This window comes from Homo sapiens, chromosome 15 (genome assembly GCF_000001405.40).
Source record: "Homo sapiens chromosome 15, GRCh38.p14 Primary Assembly".
NCBI lineage: Eukaryota > Metazoa > Chordata > Mammalia > Primates > Hominidae > Homo > Homo sapiens.
Window position 1 is genome coordinate 29,689,374 of NC_000015.10, and position 25,205 is coordinate 29,714,578.

General features: G+C 42.1%; 1 protein-coding gene across 30 annotated transcripts in view; it reads right to left on the reverse strand.

Annotated features, from left to right (window-relative positions):
* Positions 1 to 9,993: 9,993 nt before the first annotated feature.
* The window catches only part of TJP1 (tight junction protein 1), a 269,683-nt gene continuing 254,471 nt past the window's right edge, over positions 9,994 to 25,205 (reverse strand). For 7 of the 30 annotated variants that reach the window (XM_017022524.2, XM_017022521.2, XM_047432986.1 and 4 more), the window contains 6 exons: positions 22,987 to 23,037; positions 21,458 to 21,627; positions 19,186 to 19,663; positions 16,155 to 16,372; positions 14,789 to 14,932; positions 9,994 to 12,316 (listed from right to left, as the gene is read on the reverse strand). In XM_017022524.2, the coding sequence (XP_016878013.1) occupies positions 12,222 to 12,316; positions 14,789 to 14,932; positions 16,155 to 16,372; positions 19,186 to 19,663; positions 21,458 to 21,627; positions 22,987 to 23,037 (1,156 nt within the window). In that variant the 3' untranslated portion in view covers positions 9,994 to 12,221. The remainder of the gene's footprint in view (positions 12,317 to 14,788; positions 14,933 to 16,154; positions 16,373 to 19,185; positions 19,664 to 21,457; positions 21,628 to 22,986; positions 23,038 to 25,205) is intronic. The other 23 variants (XM_047432984.1, XM_011521972.3, XM_047432990.1 and 20 more) reach the window with 6 other exon arrangements.

The following is a 25,205-nucleotide window of genomic DNA, read 5'->3' on the forward strand; positions in this document are numbered from 1 at the left end:
CTGCCACCCTCATGGTGATCTGTCCTTGCATCTACTGGGGTACTCAAGTACCCCGGGAGGCCTTGGAGTATTTCCACCTATTTTTCCTTCATGGCCTCCCAGTGTATGCTTGGGGAAACTGAGGCTGGTAAGGCTGTAGAACACATCACCCACAGCAAGGGCCAGAGGGGTACATGACCAGGGGAAGACCAGGCCCTTCAGGGCTCATGGCCCCAGCCCATGGCCACAGAGACAGAGAGTTTTCACTTGGGTGGACACTGATGGGTCCTGCTCCCACTGTGAGACCGCGTCCCCCTGCCAGCTCCACCTGGGGCCTACCCTGGGACTGGGAAGTTGTGTTTTAAGTCTTGCCCTGCCTCAGTGTTCCCTAAGGAATCCTGCCTGGTTATGACATGAAGCACACGTGTGGTGTCCCTTTTGTGCTTCTGGAGCTGTTGCCCTGATTGGCATCTTGAGAAGAGTACTGGCAGTCAGGGGATCCTGGTGCCTGCCCTGGCTCTGCCCACCTCTGTGTGTGTGTCAGCCAATGGGACTCTCTGTGTCTCAGTTTCTCGTCTTTATTTATTTATTTTTTGAGACAGGGTCTCACTCTGTTGCCCAGGCTGGAGTGCAGTGGCACGATCACGGCTCACTACAGCCTCGACCTGCTGGGCTCAATCGATCATCCTGCCTCAGCCTCCTGAGTAGCTGGGACTACGGGTATGTGCCACCACACCTGGCTAATTAAAAATTTTTTGGGGGAGAGCCAGGCATGGTGGCTCACACCTGTAATCCTAGCGCTTTGGGAGGCTGAGGCAGTTGGATCACTTGAGGTCAGGAGTTCAAAAGCAGCCTGGCCAACATGGTGAAACCTCGCCTCTACTAAAAATATTTAAAAAATTAGCTGGGCGTGGTGGTGGGTGCCTGTAATCCCAGCTACTTGGGAGGCTGAGGCAGGAGAATCGCTTGAACCTTGGAGGCAGAGGTTGCAGTGAACCGAGATGGTGCCATTGCACTTCAGCCTGGGCAACAAGATCGAAACTTCATCTAAAAAAAAATTTTTTTTTTTTTGAGACAGGGTCTATGTTGTGCAAGCTGGTCTTGAACCCCTGGGCTCAAGCAATCCTCCTGCCTTGGCCTCCCAGAAGTTTCTCATTTTTAAATGGACCCTGACACTGGACTGAGATCTCAAGCTGGTATCCCAAGAACTGAACCCCATAGGAACCTGCCTTTCTGAAGGAAGTTAGAGAAAGGTGCTTCCCCAGGACATTTGGCCCTACCTCTTCCTGTGGTTTGCAGCCCCTGGCACCCACACACAGCCTGGAAAGACCCCACATTCCCTGCTGAGGGTCGTACTGTGTGCTGACTGTGCAGACCATTGGAACTTGTCCTTCCCTAGGTAGGTCAGGGTCCTGTCACCACGTTGTCTGGAGGATAGCAGGTGCTCCTGAAGTGTTTCTGAATTGGACCATATGCAAAATGTACATCAAACGAGTCTTAATAACCTATTGCTCCTAGAGTAATTGAATTCACCACTGTTGAAACCCCGACTGGCCTGAGAAATTGGCTCAGGTGAAGGAGACTGAAGACATGTGGCACGTGCAGGCAACATGGGCCCTGCGCTGGGTCTCACTGAGGGGAAGTGCTCTACAGGGTGTCAGTGGGTCAAATGTCTAACTGGAATATGGGTAGGAGACCAGATGCATGCATGCATGTTACATCTCCTAAGGCTGGAGTTGGAACGGCAGAGTAAAGAGTTTGGCAAATCCTCTCCCTAAAAGGTAACAGCAAAACTGGATAAAATGGTCAAAACCATCATTCCAGGACTGGAAAACAGCCAAAAGCAGACAGCATGTTGAGACATGTTTACTTAAGGAAAAAACCCCTGCATGAGAAATGGCATTTTTGCCTGGGCTTCTCATAGCCCCACTTCCCACCTCAGTTGTGTAAATCTGCTAGGCAGGGCATGCCATGGAGCCCAGCAGCTTTACTGCCCTGTGGGGCTGGCTGGATTTGAAGCAGGAATAGTGGCAATCTTGGGAAAGGTCAATATTGTAGCTAGCCTGATGTGGTAATCTGAGTTGGGCAAACATCGGACCAGTAGACTAGCCAGAAATCTGGGAGATTTGGAGAATGAGAACCATAGTGGGCCTTGATAAGTGCCCACATGTCCATGGCAGTCTGGAAGACCAGGTGCATGTGCAGGGCTGTGCACAATACCCAGGAGAGACTGCACAGTCCCCGCTATCCATTGAGTCAGCCTTGCATTTGCAGATTCAACCAACCATGGATTGAAAATATTAAAAAATGGCCAGGGGAGGTGGCTCACACCTGTAGTCTCTGCACTTTGGGAGGTCAAGATGAGCAGATCACTTGAGCCCAGGAGTTCAAAACCAGGCTGGCCAACATGGTGAAACCCTGTTTCTACATGAAATATAAAAATCAGCTGGGCGTGATGGCAGGCGCCTGTAGTCCCAGCTGCTAGGGAGGCTGAGGCAGGAGAATCGCTTGAGCCTGGGATGGGGAGGTTGCAGTGAGCCGAGATGGTGCCACTGCACTCCAGCCTGGGTGACAGAGTGAGACTCTGCCTCAAAAATCAATGAAAAATAATAATACATGGGGTAGTGGGGGAGCATGGAAAATGGGAAAGATTAATGGGTACAAAAATATAGTTAGATACAACGAATAAGATCTAGTATTTGATAGCACAACAGGGTGACTATAGCCAGCAATAATTAGTTGTACATTTTAGAATAACTGAGGGAGCATAATTGGAATGTTTACAACATGAGGAAACAATGAATGCTTGAGGTGATGGATATCCCATTTACCCTGATGTGATTATTAGATTGCATGCCTGTATCAAAATATCTCATGTACTCCATAAATATGTACACCTCAGTACCCATAAAAATGAAAATACAAATACACAATACAGTGTAACAACTATTTATATAGCATTTACATTGTATTAGGTATGATAAGTAACACAGTGATGATTTAAAGTCTGTGAGAGGACTGCACAAGTTATATACAAATACTATTCTATTTTATGTAAGGAAATTGAGCATCTGTGAGTTTTAATATCTGTGGGATCAAATTCTGGGTCCTGGAACAAATCCCCTGTTGATGCCGGGGGTTGACTATATATCTCTGGCTGAACATGAGGCCTTGTGCCTGTGCAGAGGAGATGTGAAACCTGACAGACTGTGAAAGCTGGGGCACATTTGTAACACTGCCTCAACTCCAAATGCATTCCCTAAACCACACACAAATCCACTGGCGAAGCGTGGAAGCCTTAGTGGTTAAAGGTGTTTAAGTACATTTGACCAATCATTGGCTGACCACATATGCTAACCCACAGGCAACCACTAGAGGAAGCTAGAGTTGAAAATAACAACAACAACAACAATAATAAAAACCCCAAACTGAACAGATACATCAGTGGCTGCACACTGAGGTTGAGACTGATTCTACAGGATTTGTTCAGTGAAGTCACTAAAACAAAAATACAGCAACAGTCCCTTGGGGGTAAGGGGAAGGAGCAGAATCCAGAGTTGCTACAATATTACATAAAGTGTCCAGTTTTAAAAATTATGAGACATGCAAAGAAACAGGAAAGTGTGATCCCTATTTGGGTGGTAAGTCGGGAGGAAGCTGGGAGGAAGCTATCAATAGACACTGTCTGATGGGGCCCAGATGTTTGAATTTAGTAGACAAAGATTTCAAAGCAGCTATGATAAAATGTTTAAAGACCTAAAAGAAACCGTTTCTTTTAATTTGATGTGACTTTTTTTTTTTTCTTGGAGTGACACAGTCTCACTCTGTCACCCAGGCTAGAGTGCAGTGGCACGATCTCGGCTCACTGCAACCTCTGCCTCCTGGATTCAAGCGATTCTCGTGCCTCAGCCTCCGGAGTAGATGGGACTACAGGCACATGCCACCACATCAGGCTATTTTTTTGTATTTGTACTAGATACAGGGTTTCACCATGTTGGTCAGGCTGATCTCGAACAAGTGAGAGGTGATTCGCCCGCCTCAGCCTCCCAAAGTCCTGGGATTACAGGCATGAGCCACTGCGCCCAGCCCATTTTTAAGAGCAATGACTCATCAAATACAGACTATCAATAAAAAGATAGGTATTGTAAAAAAAAAAAAAAATCAAATGGAAATTCTGGGGTTGAAAAGTACAATAACTGAAATATTTAGGGTTTAATAGCAGATTTGATTTGGCAGGAGAAAGAATCAGTGAACTTGAAAGGAGATTAATAAAACCCATCCAAATTGAAGAATAGAAAGAAAAGAAAATGAAGAAAAATAAACTGAAAAACAGACCTAAATTTGGGACTCATCACGCATACCAAATACATGTCATAGAAGTCCCAGAAGGAAAAGAGAGAAAAGGGAAGAAATATTTGAACAAATAATAGCAAGAAAGTCCCAAATTTGATGAAAAATACACCAGTGAAGCACAACAAACTTCAAATAGGATTAACAGAAAGAGATCTATAGCTAGATGCATACAGAGTTGAAGGACAAAGATAAAATTTCAAAACAGCAAAGAAAAAAAAAAAAAACCCACAACCTTATCACATACAAGGGAAGAACTACGTTTAACAGCTGTCTCAAGTGAAGAAGACATTAAAATGACATATTCAAAGTGCTGTAGGAAAAATATTTATTAACCAAGAATTCTTTAGCTAGCAAAACTATCCTTCAAAAGTGAAGACAAAATAAACAAAAATTGAAGAAATTCAATACAAGCAGATCTGTCTTATAAAACATACTAAAGGAATTCCTTCAGGCTGAAAAGAAATGACACCAGAAGATAACCTGCATTTAACCCCAGCATAGTAGAAAATACCTATATTTCTTATATGCTGTATATAGATATTTTCTAGTATGCTTTTAATTCCTTTTTTATTGCTTCATTCTTACTTTTTTGTTGGAATTGGTTGCTCTAGGAATAAAGAGAGCAATAAAGGAGAAAGAAGAACAAAAAAGCCTAAGTCATATAATCTTTAAATAAATAGAGAAGTGGCAGGAAGAAATTAAACCATAACAATAGTTAGATTAAATGTAAATGGGATTAAACACTCCAATCAAAAGGCAGAAATTGATAGTAATAAAACAAGATCCAACTACATGTTTTGTATAAAGAGACACCATTTAGATTAAAAGACACAAATACCTTAAAACTAAGTAAGAATGAAAAAAGATATACCATACAAACAGGGACCATAAGAAAATTTAACTGATATTCTAATATCAGTTAAAATAGACTTTAAGACAGATAATATTGCTAGAAACAAAGAGGGATATTTCATAATGGTCAAAAGGAAGATATAGCAAATATAAACATACATGTTTCTAACAACAGAGCTCCAAAATATGTAAAACCCAACTGACAGAATTGAAGGGAGAAAAAGGCAATGCAATAATAGTTGGAGCCTTCAATACCCCACTCTCAGTAACTGAGATAACTAGACAGAAAACAAGCAAGGATACAGAAGACCTGAAGAACAGCAGCAACCAACTTGACTTCTCCTCTATCTATAAAAAACCCCACCCAACAACAGAATACACATTCTCTTCAAGAGCACATGCAGCATTCTCCAGATAGACCTTGTACTCGACCACAAAAAAGGCCTCAATGAAGAGGATTCAAATAACACAAAGTATGTTTTCACATCAGAATAAAATTAATTAAAAACAACAGAAAGATATTTGGGAAAGCCCCAAATATTTGAAAATTTTAAAAATTACTTCTAAATAACTCAGGGGTTAAATCACAAGGAAAATAGAAAATATTTTGAACTAAATGAAAATGTAAAAATATCAACATTTATGAAGTACAGCTAAACAGTATCTAGAGGGAATTTATAGCTTTAAAATGCCTATTTTAAAAATATCTGAAATCACTAAACCCAGCTTCCTCCTTCAAAAATTAGAAAAAGAACTGAACCCAAAGCAAGTAGAAGGAAAGAAATAATAAAGACTAGCGCAAACTCCACGCAATGAAAAACAGAGAGCCAATAGAAGAAAATAGATGAAGCCAAAGTCAATTCTTGTAATGCTTTCTGAGGTTAAGTGTAGTGTAGTTATATAAGAGAAGACTCTTGTTCTTAGGTAATATGCATCATGTCTTCAACCTTATGCTCGAATGATTCAGAAGAATATTGTTATGGGCAGAAATGTTTATATCCCTTAAAATTCGTAACCCCCACTGTGGATGCATTTGGACATGGGGTCTCTAAGGAAGTAACTGAGGTTGAATGAGGTCCTAAGGGTGGGCACTGATCTGACAGGATTAGGATCCTCATGAGACACCAGAGGGCGTGTCTGCTCTCTCCATGTGCATGTATCAAGGACAGCCCACTGAGGACACAGAGATGGTGGCTGTTTACAAGTCAGGAAGAGAACCCTTAATAGAAACTGACCATGCTGGCACCTTCTAGCCTCCAAAACGATGAGAAAATAAATAAATGACAGCACAAACTGCAAATTTTCCAAGGAAGCATCTTGGACCTGATCTAAGCCACTCAGTTTAAGCCACTCAGTCTGTGGTATTTTGTTACCGTAGCCCCAGCTGACTACATACCTACCTACCTAGAGTGCACTGCACAGGTGGAAAATTGGCAACACTCAGGGAGTCTAGGTCAAGGGCAGAAGGGAAGTTCTCTGTATTATTCTCGCAAATGCTGTGTTGTTGCAACTGAGCGTGAAAATATGCTAAAAAAAAATAAAAACTAACCTTTCCCCTGCCTGGGTGGTGGACACTTAAGTTGCTGGGCTGTGATGGGCTGGAGGCTGTGCTCTCCTGGTTCCCTGACTGAGGTGAGGGCCTTCGGTTTAGTCCTGCCCTCCCTGCACAGGGTTCTTTTTGCCTCTATCCCACTAAGTCGTCAAGACGGTGGACGCAGATCCACTTTCTGCTTCCTCCTGGTGCCTGCCCTGTGTTTCCCGTGGTCCTCCTTGGAAAGGCCACAAAAGTGTTTCAAGAGGACTCAGGTCCAAGATGCTTCCTTGGAAAATTTGCAGTTTGTGCTGTCATAAATGTGGCACATTAATGGTTGCTAAAACTGGGGAGCAACTCCTCAAGGCTTGGTGGGAGCATTTCAACTGAGTTTAAATATTCAAAAACATAAGAACCAAATCCTGTCCCCCAGGGGCAGCAGCACTGGATCCTACTGACCAAGCTTCCACCCTCCTCCCTGGGCCTATCAAGAAGAAACCAATGGGCCGGACACAGTGGCTCATGCCTGTAATTAATCCAGGCACTTTGGGAGGCCAAGGTGGGCGGATCACTTGAGGCCAGGAGTTTGAGACCAGCCTGGCCAACATGGTGAAACCATCTCTACTAAAAATACAAAAATTAGCCGAGCGTGGTGGGGCAGTGAGCCGAGATTGCCCCACTGCCCTCCAGCCTGGGTGACAGAGCGAGACTCCGTCTCCAGGAAAAAAAAACCAATGAAGCCCTGGGACTGTTTGGTGCATGTGTCCTCTACTGAAGAGCAGGCTGCAAAGAAACTCAATTTTGCTTTAAAGCACTCGGTTTCAAATGTTTCTGAAAGCCCTCAGCTTCCCACTACAACGGCAACCGCTGCTTGGTAGGTATCAAGACTGGGGCTGCTCCCTGGGTCTCAACCTTCATGCTTTCCACTTGGTTCCTGCTCATCTTCAAGCTGTCCTTATCCAACATGGAAGACACTCATTCTCAGAAGTGCTCTGGGAAACCCCATGTCCTCAAAGTCCTCTCTAGGAACCCCACTGCCGTCGTTCCAGCCGGTTTCTGCCACACCCCCACTGACAAGAAATGAAGAGTTGCTAGGGTGAATACTTGGCACGCCCCTCAACACTAAACAGCAGCAGCATACTGACCACATGTCAGTTTCCACATTTTCTTTCCTTCTCTGTTTTTAAGGGGGTATGAAATGATTTATACCTGCATGTTTTCAAATCCACTTAAGACCAGGAGGTGCTATGTGGACAAATAGATCAAACTACCTCAAAACTTTACGGTGACAATCAAGCCAAGGTAAAACACGCTAAAATCACCACCTGTGCACCCACCTCTTCCTATTTTTCCGCGGGTGAGTGCCAGAGGAGGGCGTTCCACATGGGGGCTCTAGTGCGTCTCACGAGGTGCACTTCTCTCATGCACCAAGTGAAAACCTTACACATCTTCCCTGCCTGGCATTGCGCCAGTAGGCAGAAAACTTGGTGCAACAAAACTCAATTTTTGTCTTTATTGGCACGTGGTTTCCTAGACAACTATGGACACAATTCCCTCAGAACAGCCTATGGTGCAAAGGGAGGGAAGGGAGAGTGTCAGAATGTGGAAGGCTTGTCGTAGTTGGTTACAGACCTCTCTTCTGAGCACCTTGTTTGTGTCAACTTCTGGCTAACCTGAATGAACACCCATCAGCTGGGAGAAACAAGCACTAGGGGGCACCTTCATGGTCACTGGTAAAGAAAGCCCTAATTATCTACAAAATGGAAATGGAAAACAAACATTTAAAGTTTTATGCATTTTAGTTTTGAACTAGAAATCTTCCAAGTTTAATATATACCTTCCTAGTGAATTCCCCTGCCAAAAACAAACAAAAAACCCCTCCCCTAAACCAAATGGTATTCCTGCATCTTGGGCAACAGCTCCTTCACTGTCAAGTAGTTCCAAAGGAAAGCACGAGTAGGTAAGAGTCAAAAATGCCACTGAGTTTTTGCTGTGATCAAATTGATCAGGAGACAACAATGTGGTTCTGTAAAAATCAGCACATCAACAATGTGTCTTCCCACACTCCATCTGGGGAAACCCGGCTAAGCAGCCTGGAAACAGAGTGCCAGGTCACTCTCTACATGTAGGGCTGCTGGGCAGCCGCAGTAACGTGTGCCCGGATGCATCTGTGTACACAGCTCTCTGGTTTGCTTTCTGCAAATTGGACGGAAAACAGAGCCTGGCTTCCCATCCAGTAAATGGTTTTCAAACTGCGAGTCAAGAAAACCGAAAACTTACTCCCCATCTGCCTGCTAGGTGGCCTTCCTGCATTTACTGCCACATCCCTTCCTAGCCAACTGCTCCCTGTCTAGACGGAAGCCACCCAGTGTCAACGTCTGTGTCTCCTCACCTGAGTCATCTCCATCTGCTCAGTGCCTTGTGTACTGCATTAAGTACTTGCTCAGAGGTCAAGAGGAGGAACTGACTCACGCAGCATTAGTGGATGTTCACTAAGCCTTCTGTTGATTGTAACGTTAGTATAGGGGAAGGGCAAAAGCAGAATTCTGACCCTAAAGCTTGGCCATCTGAATGAACTCACTGCACCATGCTCAGTGCTGTGGGAAGATGGTTAGGCAACAGAAATGTCCTTAGGAAGGAGCTCTAGGTATCTACACCTGACCAGGTGTTCATGCCACATACTAAAAGGTAGGGGGACAAAAAACAGACTTACTGAGTTGTGTCCCTTTCACAATAAATTGTTTCCCTAATTTATCTAAATGAAAACTGTCTTATTTAGGCCTTATATATGTGTGTCTGTGTTTACAATAAGGACACATTTAAAACAGAAAACTCAACACCTATATCATACTACACATAAAGTTAACTCAAAGTGGATCACAGACATAAATATAAAACAAAAAATTCTGAAACTTGAGAAGTCTTTACACTTTGGGCTAAGTGAAGATTTCTCTTAGGATAGAACATCTTAGTGAAGATATGACAAAAGCATAATCTATGAAAGAACAAACTGATTAAACTAGACTTCATCAAACTGAAGTCAAGCGAAATGAAGTAACGTTTACACAAAAACCTGTACGCAAATGTTTATAGCAGTTTACTAATAATCTCCCAAACCTGGAAACAACCCAGAAGTTCCTTAACTGGGGAATGGATAAACAAGCTCTGGTACAGCCACACAATGGAATACCACCTGGCAATAAAAAAGAACCTGCAACATCATACATGAATCTCAAATGCATCATGCTAAGTGAAATAAGCCAGACTCAAAGGCAACATATTGTATGATTCCATTTATATGACACTGTCAAAAAGGCAACTATAGAAACAGAAGAGATCATCCTGCCAGGGGCTGGAAGAAGGGTTGAGTATAAAGGGGTACAAATGATTAGAGAAGATAAAGAAACTGTTGTATGTATTAACCGTGGTAAATAAACAGTATGTGTTTGTCAAAATTTGAACTATACATTTTAAAAACAGTAACTTACTCTATGTAAATTATACCTTAACAAAGATGAAAAAAATAAAATCCACATAGATGGATTCAGTCCACAAAGGTGTTTACTGAAACACTATAGCAATAATCCAAATGTCAACAGGGGTGGCAGTTAAGTAAGTAGGATGTCCACAATGGAATATTTATGCTCACTAAACCCATTTTCTTCCCCCAAATGTGGGTGACATTAAACAATGCCCGTGCTATTTATCTGGGGAATAAAACCATATACAAATGGTTACACGCACACACACAAACGCACGTGTGTCCCCATGCAGGGGTGTTTCTCCACGCAGGGGTGTGTGTTTACCCACAGGGGGAAGTCGGCCTGCTGCCTTCTCCCACTCTGTCTCCAGGTCCTTCTGCCCCACTTCAGTCTGAGCCCTTCAGATGAGCACTGCCCACCCATCTGTACATGCTGGCCAAGGGGAGAAATTCTGCATGCAACACCAGACGACGAGGTGGTAGGTGACGCTGGGTGATAGGGATTTGTGTGCAGGATTTTAAAACAGGATTATAAAGCTGCATGAAACTAGAAAACAGTGGGCAAACAGACCAAGCCAGCACTTTATTTTAAAAAGTTTTATTTTGGAGATTTAGAAATTTGAGATTTTTAATAACGGCAAAAGAAATTCAGTCACACCTAATGATTAACAGAATGTAGTGGTGTATTATCTAAACAGAAATCGTGCTGATGTGCCATAATAAATTGTCTATTAGTAAAAAAATACACTTTAGGGCACAGCATTGTATCACAAATTACAGTAGGGATACTTTGCAAGAATTTAATCAAACTAGAGAATTCTGAGTAACTGTATCTTTTAAATGCAGCACTTAAAAATGTAACAACTCTGTGCATCCTTTTTCTTAAAAAAAATGACCTTGCATGTGTCATAGAAACGCTGCTTTATTGCTGCAGAGGTCAAAGTTCAAGGCTCAAGAGGTACAGGAGAGAATACAAAGGTAGCCTTTAGAAACGTGGTCTTGTTTATGTATAAAAAAGGTAAAGTTTATAAAAGTTAATTTACAAACCAAGAACAAAAGTGGTATGCACGCATTATGTACAAGCATCCTTAAAACATCAAAATTTTCAAATGCATAGCCAGAAAGAACAGAAAACCACCACTGCCCCTTGTCAAAAAAAAAAAAAAAGAAAAGAAAAGAAAAGAAAAAAATATCCCCAAATCACACCACTATTTTCTTCTGGGTGATAACACATTTCTGAAACCACCAAATGCACAACGTACTCAGTCTTTGTCATGATACAGTATCTAGATAATGCACAAAAGCCATAAAAACTTAGTAACACAAGGAGAATGAGCTAAGAATTAAGAACATGAGGGTAAGGCATTTCTGCTGGTTAGTATGTCTGTGGTAATATGGTGAAGTTAGAGATCTGAAGAGGCCATGGAACCAGTCTCACATGCTTTTGTATCCTTCCCTAAGAAAAATGTGTTTTCATGTACAGTAAGTCATTGTCTTCACTTCACCCTCCCCCAGTTGTAAATCTCCTTGCTGTACATTTCTGTTAAATCCACAACACTGGTTATATATTCCAGGTGCATTTAAAAAATGTGTGCATATTACTTCATGCATAATAAAATAAAATGTGTACGTATGCTAGGCCAGGGCCATAGTAAAGTTTGAAACAGTGTACTTTGGAAAGAACAGACCTCAAATGCACCCCCATTTACTGGCTGGTATTTTAACGGAAATCAATATGTGAAGTTAAGCAGTGACGATAAAAAAATTACAAAAATCACAAAGCAAAATATCTTTGAACCTCTAGCCAATACCAACAGTCCCGTCAATCACAAACATGCAGTGTGTAGCATGTTTTCCGACCATGGTTCAGGGGCATGCTCACTCATCTTTATCAGTTCAAACAAATGCCTCATACTAACAAACTGTAGTATCAACTCTAAAAAAGGTATAATACTTGATAGAGTGGTTCCATTTAGATTAAGTTTAATCCAGTTTCACATTATTTAAGTTCCTATATTTCAAGAGTTAAAAGTGGTCAATAAGGACAGAAACACAGTTTGCTCCAACGAGATAATTTGGATCTCCGGGAAGACACTTGTTTTGCCAGGTTTTAGGATCACCTATGAGAGAAAAGAAGTTGATGTCATTTACAGTTCAGTAAACTGCTATCCGTAATGCTTTGCAATTATAGGGCAAATACGTATATTTAGACATAATTTTCTTCTGTTTCTTCAGCATATTGAATTTGTATCAAAACACATTGCTGTATTTCAAAGCAGATCTGCTGGCATCTAACAATTCCAAAGGTGTTTCACACTTCTAAAAAAATTTTTTTTAAAACGTTCTTTCTAACTCACACCATTAAGAACAGTTTTTTGTTTTTTGTTTTTAATTTTCAGACTTCTCCTTTATTACATTATCAAGTGCATTGGCCTTTTCAAAAAATGAATACAAGTGAGTGATGGCAATCTTATGCCTGGGACAGTCCCAGTTTGCCAGAGCCCACATAATTATCAGTAGCACTTTTTTTTTTTTTCCAGTTTCGAAAGTCTGGAGGATAATTATGTGATCACCTATTTGAGCTGAGAATGAGGACACATTTCTCACACTCAACTATAAACCAACAAATGAAGCCCAGTTCTGCAGAATCTAGTTCTTGAAGACTGTCTTCCCCCTTACAAAAAACAAGCAAAAAAACGAGACTGCACCAGAGCTGCTCAGCTCTGATTCCAGCTGGACAACAAAATTAATCATGCAGCTTCAAAAACTCATTGACTGGGTGTTAGTTAGGTCTCAGGATTTAAGTTTTTAATAAGCTCTTGGTGATTTCTATTAGATGTGAAGGCAGGGACGACTATATGTCTCTGTGGTGTCCAAGCAAGCTGAGAGTCACAGCTGTGGACGTTTGCTTCCCTTACAGAAGTAGCTCTCAAACAGGAATGACCCTGCCCCTGATGGGACATCTGGAGACAGTTTTGCTTGTTACCACTGGCATCTAGGGGTAGAGGCCCAGGGAAGCTGCTAAATATTCCACGACGAACAGGAGGGCCCTACAACAATCATTTGGCCAAAATGTCAACAGTGCCAGCTGAGAACTTTGCTTACAGTACGTTAGACATTACCTAAGCAATATCTGGAGCCAAAAGCATTTCATTTTTCCAGAAAATGGGGTACTTGTAAATATGAGGAAATATGTATTTACATGTAATTTTTTCCTCTGATAACATTAAAATATGCTCTTGCTATAATCTTTAGACCACAAACTTTTATTTCATACTGTACCAAACTAAAACTAAATAATGCTCATCTGATTTATCAAAGATTTGGAAGCTAGACTTTAAATCAGGTTCGCTTAAAGTGATCTACACCCAAAATAAAATTCTAATTATTAACTGACTTAAGTCACTCAAGGAAGTGAGAAATGTGAAAATGCAGTGGAAGCTTTGAAATTATCTCAGGAGAAAAAGTCATTTACAAATAGTGTATAAAAGAAGTAATTTAGAGTATTACACTGAAAAACCATGGCCAAGTATGATCACAACGGAAGATCTTGTTAAGTTTCTCTGGTATACATACGTTGTAGATTAAGAAATTAAACAGGCCAGGCACGGTGGCTCACACCTGTAATCCCAGCACTCTGGGAGGCCGAGGCGGGTGGATCACTTTAAGTCAGGAGTTCGAACCAGCCTGGCCAACATGGTGAAACCCCGTCTCTACTAAAAGTACAAAAATTAGCCAGGCATGGTGGTGGGCACCTGTAATCGAGGCTGAGGCAGGAGAATCGCTTGAAGCTGGGAGGCGAAGGTTGCAGTGAGCTGAGATCGTGCCACCGCATTCCAGCCTGGGCGACAGAGCGAGACTCCACCTCAAAAAACCAAATCAAAACAAACAAACAAAAAATAAATTAAACAATAGTAACCAAAAATAGAAATAGTTATATAAAGGAACAAAGTCATTTTAATAAGGTAAAAATGCCTATTTGTGCAGGACAATATCTCCCACTGCATCCTGAAAAATTTGACAGAATAAATCATTTTTCTGAACACCAAGAAATAGTCAATATTTGGCCATATTATCAAAAAAAAATTTTTTTGAGACGGTCTCGCTCTGTTGCCCAGGCTGGAGTGCAGTGGCACGATCTTGGCTCACTGCAATCTCCGCCTCCCTGGCTCAAGCAATTCTCCTGCCTCAGCCTCCCGAGTAGCTGGGATTACAGGTGTGTGCCACCACGCCTGGCTAATTTTTGTATTTTTAGTAGAGATGGGGTTTCACCATGTTGGTCAGGCTGGTCTTGAACTCCTGACCTCAGGTAATCCACTTGCCTCAGCCTCCCAAAGTGCTGCGATTACAGGCATGAGCCACGGCGCCCGGCCCAAATTATCAATTTTTAAAAGGCAGAAAGTCTTCTACCTTTCCATATTTATTTACAATATATGCACCACAAATAAATGTGAAAACACTGGTGATGCCTACAAGGCCACAGGAACAGAGATAGAGATTTGCTAACACACAGCATGGGCAGCATCATCAGCCCAGGTATTAATCAACGACAGTCCCCAAAGCTCCCAAAGGACAGAGTGAAGACAGCATACCCGACGAGGAGTCGGATGATTTTAGAGCAAAAGACCAACCGTCAGGAGTCATGGACGCACAGTGTGGTAAGCGCAGCTCCACAGGCTTCAGGAACTTGAGGCCATGGGGACCACACATCACCAAAGGACTCAGCAGTGTTTCACCTGGAGTTGGAAAAGGGGATAGGCAGAGAGGATGGATGTGGTCTTTCTTCTAGAATCCCAGTTTTCCTCACCCTGCTTCTAATTATATGCTTGAAAGCCTAATGGAGTTAGTTCTCTACAGTCGCACTGACCACAAAAAAACGTAACAGCAGCCACATATGGAATCTTAAATTTCCCAGTAGCCACGTTAGAAAGTAAAAAGAAACAAGTGATATCAAATCTTACAATATTTTAATATTTTAACTCAATATAACGAAAACACTGTTATTTCAACATGTAATCAATATATGAAATCTTTGGAACTTGGTGTGTATTTCACATTTCCAGCATCTTTCAATCCCAAATTGTCACACTTCAAGTGCTAGCTAGCCACGTGCAGGCAGTGGCTACTGCATTCAATCATATGGGTCTATAATAAAAAACATATTCAAATGTGCTTGTTGCGAATGTGATATATTTTCCATTTTCAAAATGTTTTGTTTGCTCCATAGGTGGTTAAAGAGATTCATGCAGGGCCAACACAGTCAGTCCTACTGGTTTTTAAAACAGGATATCCCCAAAATCAGAGTACAGAATCAGATGTCAGTATTCCGGCAAAATACAAAAAAGCGAACTAAATTTGTTTAGGAAGTAAAAGCACTGCTAAAAGATGCTAAATCACAACACACTTCGTTATAATATCCTGGTAGATCCAGGAGGATTATGAAAATAAGTTTCCTTAAGAAGCTCAGAAACATGCTGTCATCTCCTCTGAGACTCCTTCATGCACTCTGCTGAGCATGTACTAGTGCTAGGTTCTGGGGTGATGAATAAGACAGTACCTGTCAAGAGGTTTAGGTTCTCCAATCAGGTGAAGGCACAGCAAAGCCTTTCTGAGTGGGTGTTACCTAACCCATCTCCAGAGACGCAAAGGCTGACTGATTCAAAGACAAATTTGGTTAGGTCAGCCTAGGCTGCTCAGCAGGTGAGACATCCCGTGGCCTGTCCTATGCCATCATTTTTTATTTCACACCAAAAGTAAAAGCAGGCAGTGTGGTCACCACAGCCTTGCTTCAGGCCACCCACTGCTTGCTTGCAACACCGTCCCCAGGGCACCCCTCGCTACAGCACTCATCTGGAGATAGAGAGGTGCTGCATTATTAGCCAAGCACTATAAGCTCTGAAGTGCACACAGGGCAACTCTTAAGTTATCAAAACTAAGGAGAAAAATAAACACATTTACCTTTCTCTTTATCTAAAGGTGGAAGGATGCTGTTGTCCCGGCAGACCTTGAAATAGATTTCCTGCTCAACTCCTTCGGGAATGGCTCCTTGAGGGATAATTATACTAACACCAGTTTCTATGGAACTCAGCACGCCCCCATTGCTGTTAAATATGCCTCGGGCTGTGGCCACCACAGTATGACCATCTTCATCTTCATCCTCTTCCACAGCTGAAGGACTGAAAGTTCAGAAATGGCTAGTGAGTGAATTCCTAATAATACACAGGTGCTTTGCTTTTACTACTACTGTATTACGTGCTTTCACTTTTATTTCTCCATATAATCAAGAAGTTACTTTAACAAGATAAGTTTCTGGCAACAGATTTTACTGACAGGGTTATCGCAGAGAATATTATTTCTTTTTTGTTTGTTTGTTTGGTTTTGAGACAGAGTCTCACTCTGTCGCCCAGGCTGGAGTGCAGTGGCACAATCTTGGTTCACTGCAACCTCCATCTCCCAGGTTCAAGTGATTTTTCTGCCTCAGCCTCCCATGTAGCTGGGACTACAGGCGCACGCCACCAAGCCTGGCTAATTTTTGTATTTTTAGTAGAGATGGGGTTTCACCATATTGGCCGGGCTGGTCTCAAACTCCTGATCTCGTCGTGATCCACCTGCCTTGGTCTCCCAAAGTGCTGAGGTTACAGGCGTGAGCCACCGCGCCTGGCGAGAATATTATTTCTAGAGAAATTCCATTCTAGAAAATTTCAAAAATTCTAGAGAAATGTCAAAAATTCAATTTTTGAAGGCAATTAGTCAAACGACCTTCATTAATGAATTGCAACCTGAAAGTGTAAAATCTGATGCCTTGAACACCCAACTACAGGTGAAGCATCCCTAACCTGAAAATCTGAAATGCTCCAAAATCGGAAACTTTTTTTTGAGTGTCAAAATGAAGCTCAAAGGAAATGCTCATTGGAGCATTTTGGCAATATTCCAAAATCCAAAAAAACCCAAGATATGAGACACTTCAGAACCCAAGAAGTTTGGACAAGGGATACTAAACAGGTACAGAGTTTTATGAAGCACATTTTAAAATCCATGAAATTGGAACTTTAAAACTGGTAAGTCACAATTTAATTGGTAGCCCTGTTCTTCCCTTCCTGTTGTTTTTTGAAATGGAGTGTCTTGCTGTCACCCAGGCTAGAGTACAGCGGTGCAATCTTGGCTCACTGCAACCTCCACCTCCCAGGTTCAAGCAATTTTCCTGCCTCAGCTTCTGAGTAGCTAGGATTACAGGCGTCTGCCACCATGCCCGGCTAATTTTTGTATTTTTAGTAGACATGGGTTTTCACCGTGTTGGCCAGGATGGAACTCCTGACTTCCAGTGATCCGCCCGCCTCAACCTCCGAAAGTGCTGGGATTAGAGGCATGAGCCACCGTGCCTGGCTGTTCTTCCATTTTTAGTGACACAAAACAATGGTGCATCTCACGGCTGACAGCATCTCAGACTTGATAAAATCTCCCTAGGATTTTAAGTGTGCCTGAGTATGGTCCTGCCTCAGCATTCCCTGAGGACCAAGCGCCCGCTCTGGCTGTAGGAGGCAAGGCTTCCAAGGTTCCATGAGGCGAAGACCCTTGTATGGGCATATCCCAAACATCCACGAAAGAGAGACAGTAGATTAACTTAGTAATCACAGAACGCCAAAGGCAAAGGGGATGTGGTATCAATGACTGCTTCAAAAGTAGAGGCTATCAACTTCCTGAAAGTACAGTTTTGAGCCAGGGCTCAAAGGTGAGCAGAAAGACCAACGAAACAGAATTACATGAAGGTAGCTGCCGTTTCACTCCAGCATGACCGGAGTGCCAGGGACGACATCCTACGACACAACATCAAGGGAGCAGAGCGCAGCCTGAGCTGCAGAGCAGAGGCCAGCTCTGTCCGCCCCTGACCATCTGTGGATGTGCAGAGCTAGGAAGGCAGTGACCGCCATAACCATCCTTTCTCTTGGAAAGCAGACTCAGGTGGCCATCCTGACCTTTGGTTCTCCCTGCCTGCAAGTGCTTCTGCTTTATGGTGGCGTGAAAATGGAACTGGCTGTAGGAGGCTGAGATGAGCTTTTATGTATGGCCAGAATCCATCTGGTCAATCGCCGTGGAATGAAAGACAGGAAAGAGGAGCTGCAGGGAGGCTCCAGGTGGGCTCACTTTGTCTCATTTGCTCAGCCATCTCACTAACTGCTGCTCTTTAAACAGTCAGAGGTTATTCTATTTTTCTTCTTAGCATCATTGTGGAACAAATAATGAATGAGGAACATAGATACTTAATGTTTTTAGATGTCCTCCACATGCACCTTACCAGTAGGTCAGGAGGTTACAAAAGGTCATGGCTGGTTAAGAGTATGGGCTCCTGGCTGGGTGCAGTGGCTCACGCCTGTAATCCTAACACTTTGGGAGGTGGAGGCGGATGGATCACTTGAGATCAGAAGTTCAAAACCAGTCTGGCCAACATGGTGAAAACCTCTACTAAAAATACAAAAAATTTAGCCAGGCGTGGTGGCACACACCTGTAGTCCCAGCTACTTAGGAGGCTGAGGCAGGAGAATTGCCTGAACCCAGGGGGTGGAGGTTGCAGTGAACCAAGATCGCACCACTGCACTCCAGCCTGGGCGACAGAGGGAGACTCTTGTCTCAAAAAAAAAAAAAAAAAAAAGCATGGGCTCAGAGGTCGGATGACCAGCAGCTAAATTGAGGCTCACCTCACTCTAGCTGTGACCCTGGGCAAACTGCTTACTGTCACTCAACCTCAGTTCTTAGTAAAACAGGGATGATGACAATACCTACCAACCATACACGACTGTTAGCTTTATTATTTTACCAACATCTTGTACCTCCTGGAGGACCTTCTATGTAACAGCATTCATTGCAACAACACTCTTCAGTTTAAAGGTTGAGTTAAAAAGATCACTTTAAAGTCCCAAGTCAAATAAACTACAACAAACTCACATGAGAAAAATCACAGGGCCAATGCTTTGAGCAAAGGCATAAGTCTTACCTCACAGGAATAGCTTTAGGCACTGTGCTGATATTATTTATTTGATATTTAGGCTTCTCTGCATGGATAGAGAAAGTTTCAACTCCACTGTCAAACTCAGGAGGCTGTGCCAAACTGTGCGATTTCACAAGAGTTTTTGGAGAAGTGGGAGTTTTTGAAGACAAGTCAGGTTTATGTGCAGTTTCACTTGGCAGAAGATTGTGATTGAATTTAGGACTTTCAAACTTGCGTTCAAATGGTCGGGCAGAACTTGTATATGGTTTTGGTGTGAATCGATTGTATGCTGGAGTGACTGTTTTCTGAGTCTGTTCAGTTCCATTAACTGGGGCTTTATCTGGAAAACTTTTCTGGGGATAGAAAGCTGCCTGAGCAGTATCTTCTCGGTTTGGTGGTCTGAAAGTTGCTGGCTTATTCTGAGATGGAGGTGGGTCTGGTTTGGACACTAAGGAATTCTGAAAATCCAATGACACTGAATTACCTGAAAAACAAACGTAAGCATTTAAATAACTTTCTGAAAAAAGTTATAATAGCCCTGTCCCAGCTTAACTTGTCCTGGTGCTGGAGTCGAGGCCCAAATGTGGGTCGCACAGCCAGAGCCTGACTCTTGAGCCCTGGAGGCTAGGTGTGATGCTGAGGGATGAGGGCAGCATGGACAGGTGGTGCCATGAATATATATACCCTGCTGCCCTGGAGTCAGGGTCCAGCTGCTAAGATTCCTGGCCTCCAAAGATTGGCACTAGTCTTTGTGAAAACTAGAATGCCCAATAATCATATAATAAGGATACTCACTATTAATTAGAAAAATGTAAAACAAAACCAACAAAAAGCATTAAATACTATTTCACACCCACTAGAATGGAAAAACCGAAAAGTCTGATGATGCCAAACATTGGTTAAAAAGTGGAACCACAGGATTTTTTATGCACTGCCAGCCACAGTGTAACACAGTACCAACTGAACTCTGTGAAATAATTAAGGACACTACAAGACAGGAGAATTATTAATCCAAATACCTCATGAATATAGTAATATAATTTTCCACAGTACGAGAAGAAAAATCATATGGTCATCTTAATACATGCAGGAAAAACATCTGACTGCTTTCAGCAAACTCTGAATATAGGGAATGTCTTAAACATGATAAAGGACATCTACGAAAATCCTAGAGCTAACATTCTAAAGGATAAAACATGAGGTCCTTCCTCCTTAAAATCAGGAACTAGCAAAAGAGGTCCAATTTCACCACTTACATTTCAGAGTTTATTGGAGGTCCTGGCCAGTGCAATCAGCAAGAAAAGAAAGAAGGCTAGGTGCGGTGGCTCATGCCTGTAATCCCAGCACTCTTGAGAGGCCGAGGTGGGCGGATCACCTGAGGTCAGGAGTTCGTGACCAGCCTGGCTAACATGATGAAACCCTGTCTCTACAAAAAATACAAAAATTAGCCGGGCGTGGTGGTGTGCGCCTATAGTCCCAGCTACTCAGGAGGCTGAGGCAGGAGAATCACCTGAACCCGAGAGGCAGAGGTTGCAGTGAGCTGAGACTGCGCCACTGCACTGTAGCCTGGGCGAGAGCAAGGCTTCGTCTCAAAAAGAGGAAAAAAAAAAAGAGAAAAGGCATAAGGACTGGAAAGTAAGAATTAAAACTGTCTTTATCTGTAAACATGGGCATGTGTGAAAAAAAATCTTAATAAAAGATAGCCTCAATCCAGAACTATAACACATCTGCTTGAAGACTCACAAGCCCAAGGAGGTGCCTCCTAAGGGAATAATAAGAGAAGTCTGTGCTAGGAAAATGCCTGTCCACAGCAGAAGAGATAACCACTTTGTGTTATATGCTGAGGGTAAAATGTTACAAAGCTCTTAAGATGAATAATCTGGAGCTATATGTGATCTACCTGGTATGTAAATGCAAAAGTCAAGGTGTATGGGATACATTTTATATGAAACATTATGGCTTTTCTATTTGGGTGTGTGAGATAAAACATAGTAGGTTTTACAAACCATCTTTACATATACTGGCAAACACTACTTCCAGAAGATTTAGAGACTAGCATAAAATAGATTAAAATCTGTTTAGCTAAAAGGCTTGTCCAAAATAATGGTCTTGTAAAAACAGGAGACATACTTTTAACAAAATTCTTAGTTTTTACTGTTCCCAGCCCAAAGGTTTCAAGCATGTATTTTTTAATGTAAAAACCATTTTGCCTAGAAACCACCAGAATTTTACTTCATAAGCATTACTGTGTTAAAATGTCTACTTCCGAACTTCCTACCTTCACCATGTGCTCCCTTAGAATGTATGTGGAGAGACGCGCTGGTGACAGGCTGAGATGGCTGGGCATACTGCGAGGGCAATGGAGGAGGAGGGGGAGTGGCCTGGATGGGTTCATAGCGTTTCTCGCCAAATGATCTATCCACACCATCAGCTTCAGGAGGCTTTCCCCTGTTAACAAATGAAGAAAATGCCAACACCTGAAAATGGACTCACATTTACAAAACAAGTTCTCATTTCTCCATGTATCTCTAAGTTAAAAAAAAAAACTAGAAATTTCACAATTTATTCTCATGAGTATGGGTAGCTACTCTACCAAAATATAAAAACAGATTCGACCATTCATCGGCACAAGAAATGTCCAGACACACAAAAACTTTAAGAATATTAGTAAAACATCCAGAAGATGGCAACCAAAGGCAGGTGAAATTTTGGGTATAGTTTAATTGTTATTTACAAAAGATAGTAATGTTGACAGATTTAAGAAAGTCTTGCAAATATTCTGAAAACATATCATGGCACAAATTTTCCTGAGACCCACTTTTTTTGTTTTTGAGACAGGGTCTCATTCTGTCGCCCAGACTGGAGTGCAGTGGCGCGATCTCAGTTTACCACAACCTCTGCCTCCCAGGCTCAAGTGATTCTTCTGCCTCAGCCTCCCGAGTAGCTGGGATTACAGATGCCAGCCACCACGCCTGGCTAATTTTTGTACTTTTAGTAGAGATGGCGTTTCACCACGTTGTCCAGGCTGGTCTTGAACTCCTGACCTCAAGTGAGCCGCCTGCCTCTGCTTCTTAAAAGTGCTGGGATTACAGGCATGAGCCACCGCACCCGGCCCTAGACCCACTTCTGATTTTGTATCTGGCATCTGGCATACTCGGAGCACCATAAAAACAGATGTCACAGACTAGGGGTTGGCAAACTTTTTCACTGAAACACCAGAGAGTAAATGTTTGTGGTCTTTTGGCCCATACAGTCTTTGTTAGAACTATTCAAATTATGCGGTTATAGCCTTGAAGCAGCCACAGACAATGGGCATATCTGCGTTTCAGTAAAACTAAAAAAACTGGAGCTTTTACTTTAAAATTTCCCCTTGAGTTACCAGGTCCATTTTTTGGTTAAATGACTGCTAGAGCAGCAGATCCTGCTTTATTTTACAAGGTTCATTTAAGTCAAATTGTGCCATGTATGTTTATTTTTTCAGATTGCCAATTGTTAATATGTAACACAAAATTCACACAAATCTTTTTAAAAGACCCATAATTGCAACATTGCCATCTAAACCTTACTGCTGAATGCCAAAGCTGCACTAGCTTTATGTGCACCAACAATAACATATACATTTGGAATACTCCTGGTCATTTTCATAAATTTTCATTGAAGAAGTCTTATGATTGGCTTTTTTATCTTGCTTTCATGAATTTAGACTAAGCCCTTGATGATGACATTAAAATCTGAAAGTGCACATAATGCCAGTGACACAGTGAGGGACACCTTATGGAACAGCCTCACATTAATTGCCAGTCTTACCACTTGACGTTCCTTTTCAAGTAGTCATAGCTAGTGTAAGAGCCAAGAAATCTAGGTGATGGCAAAGCAAGCGCAATAGAAAAATGAAAGAAAATGGTCAATCTAACTAAGTAAATTTGCAGCAAATGGAACTCAAATGTCATTTAAAAATATCAACCAACATCCACCATTTCACCATAATTTGGTCTATAAAGGAACATATCACTAACTCTCATTTGGCCAAGGAAATTGAAGATAAATAAAACACAATCACTTAGTTATGTCCCGTCTGCTGGCCCATCCTTCATGTACTTTAACTGTTACTGCAGTGAAAAGCAATGTGTTTGAACTTTGCTCCTTCTCCACCTCTGTTGCAGCTGCTAATAGTGAGCAAAGAAATTTATCAAATCAAAGAGTGGTGATCAAGGATAATTAGCAGGTTCTGAATAAGTGGGAGTGACATGTCCCATTAAAAAAAAAAAAAAAAAGGCTGGGCAAAGAAATTCTGCAAGTGAAGACACAGGAAAAAGTAACACAACAGAAGAGCTACATTGAGCCCCTGGGAGGGGAATGGTAAATGGAGAGATAGAAATATGCCTGGCTTGAAACCTGGCCAGGCTTCACATGTTCCTTTCTAGCAAGACCTCCTCCATCTCCAATCGTAAGCTGGGCCCTGTGGTGGTGGAGTCTTACTGGTGAAGCTGCATGCTTGATGCTCAGGCTCTCTCTCATCTAATGATGTCTCACAAACACAAAAACAACTGAACATCAGTCTCTCACATTTAGTTCTTTAAAAGCTACAAACCACCATCATTTATTGAGACCTGGAAGTCTCACATAGTGAGTTGAGTCCTGAAAGGTAGATTTGATAACAAAAAATCCCTGGTTGTCCTGAAGAAGTTGACTCAATCTCTGGACTGAGACATGTGCACAGCCCTGGAGGGACACTGCTCTTCTTGCACTGTTTTAGAATCCTGGAAACTTCTAATTTACTTTGGAGGTGAATGTCTAAGCTACTGTCTCCTAACCTTTCCAGTTCTAATCCAGCTCTATGGAACTGTTAGACTGGGTAATATCTGCTTGCTTCCTGGGGCATCTGTCCTGTGCTAACAAAGATTATTTTCCATATCTAATTCTCACCATTTCTGAGGTGTGTTTTTAAGTGAAGCATAAGCACACATCATCTGAAGGAAGAAAATTTTGCTACTCCTGTATTTACTGAAAGAAAGAAATGCCTGAAGGCAGTCTTATTTAGTGACAAACAGTAAATGGTTTTGAAATGCAGGACAGAATCCTATATTTTAAGCTATTTTCCAGTTGATGAAGTTGTACTCATTGGACAAGAGTATGAAAAAGCATTACAAGGGAAACTTACAGAAACAACTACCCTCTTAGTTATCTTCCATGACCCTTATTCTCCTTTCCATTTCTCTAACCATTAAATACCTATATGGGAAAATGCAGCACAATTATAAAGAGTTTCAATTTCACACTACAAAGGAAAAAAAAGTATACTGGTATCCAGCCCAAACTATACTTTTCTCTCTCACAGCAGCAGGGAGTAAAATCAAACTGAGTTCTGAGTAAATTCACAAAGACAGATGTCATCTGTTTCACAATATATCCCTGTGAAAACAATGACCAGGTAATACAGGTTCCTTCCAGAGCTGTGTTAATGAAAAGAAGGGTGGTGGATGCACCTAGTATACCATGCCCTGTTTTGAGCTTCATTCACTCAACAATTACTGAGCCCCTACTGCATGCAAGGCAATGTTCTACACCCTAAAGTTATACATCACAAATAAGCTAAGTCTTCTTTCTAGAAAAACAAATTAACACAGAAAGCAAACATGCATTTTGATTGATTCCCTGGCAAAACAACTTACTTTTTAGACCTAAATATACTCCTTTTTTTTTTTGAGATGAGTCTGGCTCTGTCGCCCAGACTGGAGTGCAGTGGCGCGATCTCGGCTCATTGCAAGCTCCGCCTCCCGGGTTCATGCCATTCTCCTGCCTCAGCCTCCAGAGTAGCTGGGACTACAGGCACCTGCCACCATGCCCAGGTAATTTTTTGTATTTTTAGTAGAGACAGGGTTTCACCATATTAGCCAGGATGGTCTCGATCTCCTGACCTCATGATCCACCCACCTCGGCCTCCCAAAGTGCTGGGAGTACAGGCGTGAGCCACTGCGCCCAGCCTTTTTTTTTTTTTTTTTTTTTGAGACAGAGTCTCACTCTGT